General features: G+C 43.0%; 1 protein-coding gene across 3 annotated transcripts in view; it reads left to right on the top strand.

The window, feature by feature from the left end:
- Positions 394-12,190, top strand: part of GABRB2 (gamma-aminobutyric acid type A receptor subunit beta2) — a 259,969-nt gene continuing 248,172 nt past the window's right edge. For 2 of the 3 annotated variants that reach the window (NM_000813.3, NM_021911.3), the window contains exons 1-4: positions 394-739; positions 2,003-2,231; positions 2,385-2,476; positions 3,504-3,571. In NM_000813.3, coding sequence (NP_000804.1) covers positions 2,155-2,231; positions 2,385-2,476; positions 3,504-3,571 — 237 coding nt within the window. In that variant the 5' untranslated portion in view covers positions 394-739; positions 2,003-2,154. Of the gene's footprint in view, positions 740-2,002; positions 2,232-2,384; positions 2,477-3,503; positions 3,572-12,190 lie in introns of those variants that run through there. The other variant, NM_001371727.1, reaches the window with a different exon arrangement.

Here is a 12,190-nt window from a genome sequence, read left to right as displayed (position 1 = left end):
CGGGCAAGGTCGCTGACTCAGGAGACTTCGGAGTGTAGGCTGTCTAGTTCAGTGGTTAGGAACGCTGGCTCTGAAGTCCAATCCTGGTTTCACCTCATGCCATCTGAGTGACCTTGGGCGAGCTTCTTGACTTCAGTGAGACAATTTCTGAATCTATAAAATGGGGACACTGAAGTGATAGCTAAACGCTAGAACTGTTGTCAGAATTAATGAATGCAGCGCTCTGGCACGAAGTAGGAACTCACTTAATAGTGACCATGATTGGCAGCAGCAGTGAGAGGCTAAGCATTGGGGTCCAGAATAGAGATTTGAGCTCTGGCCTTTCCAGTTCTTCACCCAGGGTGGGGTTGGGGGAGGGGTAGCGGGAACGTCTACTCTTCCCGCCTCTTCCCCAGTTCCAAGATAAACTCAGGAGTACCCGGAGAGCCGCTGGTGTGGACTCCGGTTCCTTCGGACGGCCTTGTGTCCCCAGACTCGTAGCACCTCACGCCGCCCGTGGCTCCTCTCTTTCCCTGGAGCGGAGGGAAGACTTCTTTTGTGAATTGAGTATCTCCCTCCCCCAATTTCCCCACCCCAAGCTTGCTGCCTCCTCCGGGTCCCGGCGGCCACGGCGAGGCGGCCTGAGCTTCAGGAGGAAGGGAAGAGGCAGCCTCTGGGTGTGCGAGTCCCCTGGGCGCGGGGAAGGGAAGAAGAGGACGAGGTGGCGCGGAGACCGCGGGAGAACACAGTGCCTCCGGAGGTGAGGGGCTCTTCCTCATTTTGCCTGCCTTCTAGGGACCGCTCCGGCTTCTTGTATCCAGAGGTACAGCCCCTGAACAGCCGGGAGTCCCCGTCCCCTGTCCCGGACGAGGGGCCGGGGGCGCCAGCTCCGCACGCCGCGGGAGTGGGCGGCGAGCGCGGGCCTGCGAGGTAAGGAGGGATGGCGGCGGGTGGGGAGTGCGCCTGCACGTGTGTGCGCGCGGGTGCGCGCAGCGGAGGGGGCGCTGGGGGACCGGCCGGGGCGCGTCCCACCCGGCCACCTGCCCTTCCTGCTCTGTGCGGTCGCCCACGCCCTCCAGTCCCCCGCACCTGCGCTAGGGCGCCCGTCACCCGCATCCCTCACGCCTCCACGTCCCATCTCCCCCTCATGCAAACCCCACCCTGCCCACTAATAATTCCCACTGCAGAATCAGACCGAAACCTGGAGAGACAGCATTGCCTTTCTGCTCCCCTCGCCCCCCTCCCCTCCTGCTATAAATAACCCGGACTAGCGGGTCAGGAACGTCACACGGCGAGAAAACAGGACCCCGAGGTTTTCTTCTCTGGGAATAGGGGGCAAAGGGTGAGGAGAGGAGAAAGAAATCGCTCGTGAGTAGTGAAGAAAAGCTTGCTCTTTGACTACTAGAAGAGACCAGCCATTATTTTATTCTTTTCTTTCTCTTTCTTCCTTTTTTATTTTTCCGTGCCTTTCTTATTCTGTACCCGCCTCCCCAACCCCCCGCCCCAAATCCAACGGGTTGCTCAGCATTCCTCCCATTGGTTTTTTCCCTCCCTCCCGCTTCGACTCCCAACGCCCCCTCCCCCCTCCTCCCACCCGCTGCACAACCCCCGCCCCCCCCATCCCAGTCTCGCCCCAGGCAGGGCATGCTATTTGCCAAGGAAATAAAGTTCAAACTCCTTGCCCCGTGTCCGGCTGAGACCAGAAGTGGGCTTACCGGCACCTATCTTCCGCTGGCACGCCACACCTGCTCTCCTCTAATTTTCTAATCTGGTTTTGCATATTTAAAAGGACACACACACACACCAAAAACCCACAACCCGCTCGGTGCAAAACTGCCTCTTGCAACTACCGAAACTTACCAGACGCTGTAGTTATTTTGTCTTAACGAAAGGATAACAACAAAAATTTTATTCTGGATGCTGCTGTGGGGTGACTTTTCTATATTATTCAAATATGTATGTATTATACATATACATGTTTTTCCTTTTTCCCTTTTAATTTTTTTTTTTTTTTTTAAACAAGGAAATCTGCTCGGTCCCCGGCAGCCGCCGCTTCCCCTTTGATGTTTTGGTACGCCGTGCGCATGCGCCTCACATTAGAATTACTGCACTGGGCAGACTAAGTTGGATCTCCTCTCTTCAGTGAAACCCTCAATTCCATCAAAAACTAAAGGGATGTGGAGAGTGCGGAAAAGGGGCTACTTTGGGATTTGGTCCTTCCCCTTAATAATCGCCGCTGTCTGTGCGCAGAGGTAAGTGTGCCCAGCGTTTCTCTTTTCCGTTCTCACTTTGAAGGGTTCTGTCTGCATACCTCTGTGAGCAGGGAAATGTAGTAGGGATCCGATGCTGAAAACGCTATGCCTGCTTCCTTATTGATGCCTGCTTATTGTCATTTCTTTCTTTAGTGTCAATGACCCTAGTAATATGTCGCTGGTTAAAGAGACGGTGGATAGACTCCTGAAAGGCTATGACATTCGTCTGAGACCAGATTTTGGAGGTAATGGGGTTGCCTTGCAAATAAGTCCAGCCACAGCCGAAGCTGTCTTTTGAGCTTTGTGCGCGCTCTCTTCCCTCTCCCTAGTTGTGGGTGCATGTGGTGTCCTGAATGTGTCTCTATTTTACCATATTGAGAAACTGATCAAAACTTAAGCTGGATTATTGCTACCCACCACTTCCGTGGTCTTTCAATGAGACCCTCTTAGTGTGTACTCAAATTTGGTGACTGCTGTCTTTCAGCTTCACTGTTATGAATCCTTTGCTTCCCTGCCTTTGCTTTGTTGAGACACAAACCTCTTAAGTTTAGTTAATGGTGTGCCGAGAGAACCCGGCTTGCGGAAGGCCACCGTTAACATTTTTTAGGACAAGACGTGCAGGCAGTTGGTTGAGAGGTGGCGTTAACCCCCTGTGCCTGCCTACTTTGGAAGAGTTCTTCTGGCCAGGGTTACAGTGGCTCATGTCTGGATATAATCCACTCCTCCCAGCCTCACAGAAATGGGGAGGACTGGGGGATGGGAGGGTAGGGAGAAAATGGGAGGGTTAGAGAAGGTAGGGGAAAGAAGAATCTCTCTCTGGCTGCAGCCCTAGATATGCTGATAGACTCACTTAATATTGCTTCAGACTCTTATGAAGCTCAAAGAGTTAAAACCTGTGCACAGAAGGGGGTGGGAAAGACTGAGGAGGAGGGGGTTTCAGCGCAAAATATAAAAATCCCTTAGACTAGAAGGATTCTTGTGCTTCTGTGAGTTGTGTGCATTCACATGCTGAGACATATGCATATGTAGACAGAGCTGGAATCCCTTGTTCACAGCATACGTGTGTGCATATTCAATACAGCATTTGTTAGAGGAGTGTGTGCCTGCTACCTTTTTTTTTTTTTTTTTTAACAAAAAAAGCAGAGAATTGAAAAATTTGAGATTGAGTAGTGCAGAAGGGTTTTGGGCAGAGTGTCTTATGCTCAGGGATAACTCTTGCTGAGAATGAATGAAGTTCAAAGAAATCACGTGGCTGGCCGTCTTGCTTTGCAGGTCCCCCCGTGGCTGTGGGGATGAACATTGACATTGCCAGCATCGATATGGTTTCTGAAGTCAATATGGTGAGTATTGACATTTATGACTACTTCTTTGCAAACTTTCGTTTGGGGACAGGAAGGAGAAATGAGCCAGCTATTGGGGGTGGGGGTGTGCTTGGCTATGTGTATGAGGTGGGGGTGAGAGCATGGAATTTCACCCTAGAATACCCTGTGTTGAGGTTAGAGAGTTGACTCTTTCTGGTCCCTAAGGATTTTTTCAACCTGGTTCAGATACTTGGAGTAAAATGCATCACACATTCATGTGTAAAACGCAACCACGTGCAGGAGACCCCCTACAGAAGCCTCATCTCCTCAGGCTCAATGAGAAACCCAGTTCATTAAGTGATTTTCTGGATTTGATGTGGGGTCATGGGAAGAAGGGAGAGTTTTGATTTGACATTTAATGGAGAATATAGCCTACAAACAAAACTAATAAAGGCCCTGGAATACTGATGCCCACTCGTTGCTTTCAAAGATCACTGTTTACTGTTAATGGCAAGCCCCCATCCCCCATTCCTGCCCCAACTCCATTGTTTGCTGCTTGCTTTAATCCCTCCTGCCCACCAAAATAAAAATTGGCCATCCTGTTTCTAAAAGGTAGGCTCAGACCCATGTGTCATCCCCGTTCACTTTAGCAATTCATTCACCACATGTCCTAAGCTTGTACAGTTAATTGACAGCAGTACTCCTTAGTGGCTGCCTCCGTGGACTTGGGGCAAGTGTTAAGAGGAAAAAGCCTGTGTTCCCAACTAGGAAACACGTGTTGGGGGGTTTGCTTCAATCGGGAGCTCCCCCTGCTGCCCATATTGGAACACTGCAGACATGCAATGCGATGACAAGCGTCCCAGACGCCCCCACATACTTGGGGGCATTCCTCCAGTGACTTTTCTACTCTGTGTTTTTAAAATCTCATGCTTTGGAGAAGTCCCTCTAGATAGGCCACATTTTAATGTAGAATTCCAGTGTTACTTTCAGTCCTGATAGTACACAGCACGTTTCAGAAGGTTGTGTTTTGGCATAGTTCTGTCTAGAAATTGGATTAATTATTAAATAAAGGGGTATAGTATATAAACTTTTATGCAAAACATTTCTAAGCCACCCCTCAGGACTTGAAAATTAGTTCTCAACATTATATAAATTTCCATATTCCCAGAATTCAAACAAGAAGAAGCTCAGTAACCAACATAGTCCTCATACACTGTCTAAAGATAAGAGATAATCCCGAGATTTCATAAGATTCTGAAGCAAATGAATACTGTGCTTATACCTTATGAGTATGCAAGGGAATTCTGCTATTTCTGAAATGTTTTAATGACATTAATCTTCTCATATTCTAATTTAGAGAAAGTTTTTATCACATGCAATATAAACGCAGACTAAAGATAATATTGGATGTTTCAGAACCAAAAATTTCCCTCACATTATGAAAATCTGTGTGGTTAGAGAATGTTTCTTGGGATAGTATTTAATTTCTCAGATATACAAATATTCACTTTTGGTGAATTTGAAAGGTCTTTTATCAGTTTATATTTTGAGCTTCAGCATAAAAATAAAAGATGTCTTAATGTGGGTACCTTCTTATGTCTCAGGAATGTGAATCTAAATTATGCTGTTTAAAACAAAGTAATATAGAAATCAGGTGTGATTCTGTGCATCCTACACGTGATTGATTCAGACTCCTCTCTTTTGCATTTTGCTTTTTTTATGCTCTTCTCTCAGTCCCAAGTCTTATTTTACCACCACCTCCCTCTTTAGAGCATCACAAAATGAGATTTTGTGAAACATATCAAGAAAAATTTAGAACCCAAAGAGATAATCATGAGATGACTAGAGGTTGCTGCAGTAGGTTAGCTAATAACTTAAAGGTATTATATCCTAACATTGTTTAGAGTGGTAGAATTTTTATTTTTCTTTCCTTTAAGTTCTATTCATTTTTTGCCTACATGCAACATTTTGGAGAGATATCTGAGGTGGAAACAATGCCAAGACCTGCTAGTCAAAATATAGATCCAGTTAAGGCAAGGTGTCATCACTTAAAGCTATTTACTGTTGCTGAAAAATCATGAGATGTTGAAGTGCAAAAATGAATATCAGGTTGTAAATGGGACAACATTGCAACATTAATGATTAGAACCAAGTGTTGAAAATTCCAAGCCAGATTCCTTACTTAGCCTTATGCTACACCCATGGATTTGTCCAGCTAGATTGTCACTTGTTGAAAAATTAACATTTTTTTCAGCTTCCAACCTTAATAACCTAAAATTATCTTCAAAGAAATTTTTTTGTGATGTTTGTTTTATTTTTTAAAGATGATTATTTGTTTTGAAGCAACAGATGGGAAATTCCATCTCTGGTGTCTAAATAACAGATGTTTATGGTGTGTTGTACCCTGTATGTAGGTCTGAGTGTTAGGGCCTTTTGATTAGCTTCAGGTGTGAAAGAATGGTTGATTGGTTACTTAAATGAAACTTCAAAATTGATTTAACAGACACATTTATCCCTCATTATCCTTTGTGGACTGCAGTCTCTGGTAATTGTAACTTTCTCTTATGATATAGCATGTCTTTCTTTGAAGAATGGTAGGGAACCAGACCATTTAAATTGTCATTGACTCATTTGTACTGGACAAATAAATGTCCATGTCAGTGTGATGCTCCTTGTAAATCACAATGATAGAAAGACCCTGAAGTGAATCAGGAGTCTCAGATGCGAGTTCTACTTCTGATGCTTAGTCATCCTGAGGATATTCACAGATAGACTGGGCTCACTTTACTCATTCATTAAAGGGGAGTAATAGTCCCATTTTACCTATCTTGGGTGAATACCAGAATATAGATATACCTTGTTTTATTCTAGCTTGCTTTATTGTGCCTTGCAAACATTGCATTTTTATAAATTGAAGGTTTGTGGCAACCTTGAAATGAGCAAGTCTATAATGAGCCTGTTTCTCTAGTAGCATGTGTTCACTTTGTGTCTCTGTGTCACATTTTGGTAATTATCACAATATTTCAAATTGTTTCATTATTATTATATTTTCTGTGGTGATCAGTGATCAGTGATCTCTGATGTTACTATTGCAATTGTTTGGGGGCACCATGAACTGCACTGAGGTAAGACAGCAAACTTAATGGATAAATGTTGTGTGTGTTCTGACAGTTCCACCAATGGGTCATCCCCCTGTCCGTCTCCCTCTCTGTGAGGTTCCCTATTCCCTGAGACACAACAATATGGAAATTGGGCCAATTCACAGCCCTACAATGAGAGTTGCACATCTCTCACTTTAAATCAAAAGCTAGAAATGATTAAGATCAGTGAGGAAAGTGTGTCAAAAGCTGGGACAGGCAGATAGCTAGGTCTCTTGCTCAAAGCAGCCAAGTTTTGAATGCAAAGGAGGAGTCAATGAAGGAAATTGAAAGTGGTAGTCCAGTGAACACATGAAAGATAAGAAAATGGAAAAGGCTTACTGATGATATGGAGAAAGTTTTAGTGCTCTTGATAGAAGATCAAACTAGTCACAACATTCCCTTAGAGACAAAGCCAGATTACCAGAACAAGACCCTAACTGTATTTGATTCTATGAAGGCTTAGGAGATGCAGAAGAAATGCTGGAAGCTAGCAGAGGCTGCTTTAGGATGTTTATGGAAACAAGCTGTCTTCATAACATAAAAGTGCAAGGTGTATTAGCAAATGCTGATGGAGAAGCTACAGCAATTTATGCAGAAGATGCAAGGTAATCAGTGAAGATGGCTGGCTATTCTGCACAAAAGACTTTATTAGATAAGAGAGTCTTCTATCAGAAGAAGATGACATCTAAGACTGTCATAGCTAAAGAGGAGAAGTCAATGCCTGGCTTCAAAGCTTCAAGGCACAGGTTGACTTTTGTTAGGTGTTAATGCAGCTGGTTACCTTAAGTGAATGCTGTCTCAAATCCTAGGTCCCTTAAGAATGATGCTAAATCTACTCGGCCTGTGCTCTAGAAATGGAAAACCACAGCCCAGATGACAGCATATCTGTTTACAGCATGATTTATTGAACATTTTAAGCCCACTGTTGAGACTTAGTGCTCAGAAAAAAAAAAAAAAAGATTCTTACTGACTTACTGCTCAACCAGGTGCAATGGCTGACGCCTGTAATTCCAACAGTTTGGGAGGCTGAGGCCGGCAAATACCTTGAGCCCAGACATTCAAGACCAGCCTAGGCAACATGGTGAAACCCTGTCTCTACAAAAAATACAAAAATTAGCTAGGCATGGTGGCATGTGCCTGTAGTCCCAGCTACTCAGGAGGCTGAGGTGGAGGATCACTCGAACCTGGGTGGCAAAGGTTGCAGTGAACTGAGATCACACCACTGCACTGCAAACTGGGTGACAGAGTGAGAACTTGTCTCAAAATAATAATAATAATAATAATAATGAGATTACAATTAGAAAACAAACAAAACAACAAGAAAATAATGGCTGCTCATTGACAATGCACCTAGTCACACATGAGCTCTGATGGAGAGGTACAAAGAGATTAATGCTGTTTTCATGCTTGCTAACACAACATCCATTCTGTAGCCCATAAATCAAGGAGCAATTTTGACTTTCAAGTCTTATTTAAGAAGTACAATTAGTAAGGCTATAGTTACCATAGGCAGTGATTCCTCTGATGAATCTGGGCAAAGTATTGAAAACCTTCTGGAAAGGATTCACATTCTAGATACCATTAAGAACATTCATGATTCATGAGAGGAGGTTCAAATAGCAACATTAACAGGAGTTTGGAAGAAATTGAGTCCAATTCTCATGAATGACTTTGAGGTGTTCAAGGCCTGAGTGGAGGAAGTCACTGCAGATGTGGTGGAAATAGCAAGAGAACTAGAATTAGAAGTGGAGCCTGAAGATGTGATTGAATTGCTGCAATCTCATGATCAAACTTCAATGCACAAGTTGCTTCTTAAGGATGAGCAAAGAATGTGGTTTCTTGAGATGGAATCTACTTTTGGTGAAGACGCTGTGAACATTGTTGAAGTGACAACAAAGGACTTAGAATATTACATAAACTCAGTTGATAAAGCGGCAGCCAGATTTGAGAGGTTTGACTTCAATTTTGAAAGAATTTCTGCTGTGGGTAAAATGCTATCACACAGGATAGCATGCCACAGAGAAATCTTTTGTGAAAGGAAGAGTCCACTGATACAGCAAACTTCATTGTTGTCTCATTTTAAGAAACTGTCTCAGCCACGCCAGCGTTTAGCAACCACAACCCTGCTCAGTCAGCAGCCATTAACATGGAGCCAAGACATTCTATCAGCAGAAAGATTACTACTCCGTGAAGGCTCAGATGATTGTTAGTATTTTCTAGCAATAAAGTATTTTAAAATTACGGTATGTACATTTTTAACATGATGCTATTTCACACTTATTAGATACAGTATAGTGTAAACATAACTTCTGTATGCACTAAGAAACCAAAAAAATTGTGAGACTCGCTTTATTGGGATATTCACTTTATTGTGGTGGTCTGGAACTGAGCCAGCAGTATCTTTCTGTGGTATGCCTTCATGTAAGTTTATTGGTCGTCTATGAACATACTTAATGAAGACAACTCAAGAGACCCAATGTCCACTCCAGCTGCTGTCTTAAGTGTGCTTGGGTTGGCAATATAATTTACTAAGTCTCAGTTTTACCATGTTTTAATTGAGAAAGGATATATTAACTTGGCTTGCAACTCAAAGTTCCATGTTTCTCTGACTTGGCTAGTTATAGTAGCTCTATTGGATATAAAGAAGTTCCAGGAAAATTTGAAAATCTAGAAAATCATGAGGAAAATGCAGAACTCCTAAATGGCATGCAGTTGTGAGTCCTTACTGAGGAAGCTACTGGTGGTGTCAGAACCATGTGACTTAGGTGACTGTCAGCTCAATAGATCTTTGGAAGAATGTGGTCTCAATTAGAATGCTCCTGAGCAGAAAGCTTGGCCTTGGAATGAAATATTTTTAGATGTCGTGGTTAAATTGGCAGGAATCTTTTTGTTAAGATTCTTTGATGAAAAGTGCATTTTAAGATTCAAATTTTGGCTCTGAGGATTATGGACTGAAATAGCTTCCTCTTCATTTAAAGCAGATTCTTCTCCATCTTAAAACAACACATTTGCCAACCAAAGAGTGAAGCAATATTTCACTTTTGAGGAAAGAGTTCTAGTAAACACATACACAAATTACCTTTTTATGGAATGGCAAATGGAGAAAAGTGCTGCTGTTTTTTAAACAGATGTTTTCTTGCATCACCAGCTGCACAGTTTAAAATTTCATTCAACAAACTTATTTAGCAGCTACTATGATCCAAGCATGTGTTAGGCCTTATGGACAGAGTAGTGAATGAGACCAACCCATCCCCTGACCTCATGAAATATATTATCTAGGTGTTTACTTTTTTTTTTTTCTTTTGAGACAGTTGTCTCGCTTTGTTGCCTGGGCAGTGCAGTGGCACAATCTTGGCTCACTGCAACCTTCACCTCTTGGACCCAAGCAATTCTCTCATCTCAGTCTCCCGAGTAGCTGGGACTACAGGCACGTGCCACCATGACCAACTAATTTTTGTATTTTTAATAGAGATGGGGTTTCACCACGTTGCCCAGGCTAGTTTCAAACTCCTGAGCTCAAGCGATTTCCCCACCCTTGGCCTCCCAGAGTGCTGGGATTATAGGCGTGAGCCACCACCGCCCAGGTAGGCGTTTACTATTCTTATAGTTACATCAGATTCTTACTGTATTTATGCCTAGCTTACGTCTTTCCTTTTCTGTAAGACTTTCTTAGCAGCCAAGTAAGTGCCTCATGGTCTTTGTCTCCTATAAGTTCCTTCGTCACTTGTTGATTTTGTCACTTGTCTGGGTATTTGGTATTTCAAATGGTTTATATTTTACGTATTTATTCTGTCTTCCTCCATCATGTTTATAAATTACATCACGACAAGGTTATGGTGTCTCTCCCAGTGTGGTTTTGCTTTATATACAAATGGTTGTTTGGATATTTGACCCCGGGCGAATGCCACAAGTATTGAGTGAAAAATTCACTTCTATAGTAGTAATTTATTATTTGCTACACACTGTACTATTTATGTGGGGAAATAGAACACAGAATCATAGCGCACAAAGTCAGGCATTCACCATTTGGAACAACAAGTGTAGAAAGAATCACAATGTGGGGTCATGAGTGCTTTGAAAGAGGATATACACAGGGCATAGTGGGAATATACTAATATATTACATGGAAACGAGTCAGGTGAAGAAGGGGGTTAGAAGTGTGTGGATAGATGTTCCAAGCAGAAAGAATAACATAGAGGAGGGTGTGACACAGGATAAATAAATGGTATTAGGGATTTGGAAGTCATTTTAAAAGACTGGAGTGGGAGTGAGGAAAGGGTAGATTTGGTGTTGAAGCCGTAGGTGGGGATCAAAAGATGAAGACCATTTTTGTGTCTTGCTCAATAATTGAATATTTGTCCAAAGCCTGTAGGGGCCCATGAAATAGTGTCAATAGAATTGCATGAACAGATTCACACCTATCGAAGATGGTTCTGAAGTGTAGAGGGTGGATTGAAGTGGAGCAAAATTTAACGTTGGAAGATGAGTTGAAAACCTACTGCAAAATTTCAGGAAGATGTGATGAACTAAGACAGGAATGCAAAAAAAGAAGATATAAAATTATTGTGTTTATAAGATGAAAGTGACAGGACTTGGTGAATCCCATGATTCTCATAGTATCCTTTACTGATGTAGGGAAGACAGGAAGGGGAGTGGAGGTCAAGGGGATGAGGCATGTGGGCAGATAGTGAGTTCACTTTGGGAAATGGTGATTTTTTTTTTCTATGCACATGGAATCTCCAAATGGATACAACCAGCAGGCGATTGGAAAATATAGGTGTACAAATTAGGAAGCAGTTATATAGAGAGACGAACTGAGCATTGTCAGCATATAAGTGGTGCTTCTAACTTTGTGAATACATAAAATTTAAAAGGCAAAATGCAAAGACAGCTAAAAATGGAAATCTGGTGAGCCCCGTATTTTAGATAGTGGAAGACAGAAAAGGAGCTCACAGAAGAGATAAATAAGTAGCAGTCAGAGAGTTAGTACAAGATACTCCAGATAATCATGTCTTAAAACCTGAGTTTGAGAAGCAAATAGTCAGCTGCGTCAGATGCCACAGTGATCAATTGAAATAAATCATGAAAATTTTCTCCCAGATAGAGTAACAGGAGCGCACTGGTGAAATGTAGCAAGAGGAGTTTCGGTGGTCGAAGACTACACTTTTGAGAAGTTTGGTTCTGAAGGGATGTAGGGAGAGGGAAACAGCTTTTAAAAAGTCATATATACCCAGGCATGGTGGCTCACGCCTGTAATCCCAGCACTTTGGGAGGCCGAGGTGGGTGAATCACCTGAGGTCAGGAGTTCAAGACCAGCCTGGCAAACATTACAAAACCCCGTCTCTAATAAAAATACAAAAATTAGCTGGGCGTGGTGGTGCATGCCTGTAATCCCAGCTACTCAGGAGGCTGAGGCAGGGAGAATTGCTTGAACCTGGGAGGCGGAGGTTGTAGTGAGCCGAGATCGTGCCACTGCACTCCAGCCTGGGCGACAGAGTGAGAGTCATATATAGTTTGG

This window comes from Homo sapiens, chromosome 5, assembly GCF_000001405.40.
Source record: "Homo sapiens chromosome 5, GRCh38.p14 Primary Assembly".
NCBI classification, from domain to species: domain Eukaryota; kingdom Metazoa; phylum Chordata; class Mammalia; order Primates; family Hominidae; genus Homo; species Homo sapiens.
Note: the sequence above shows the minus strand (reverse complement) of the source record. Positions and strands in the feature narration are given on the sequence as shown.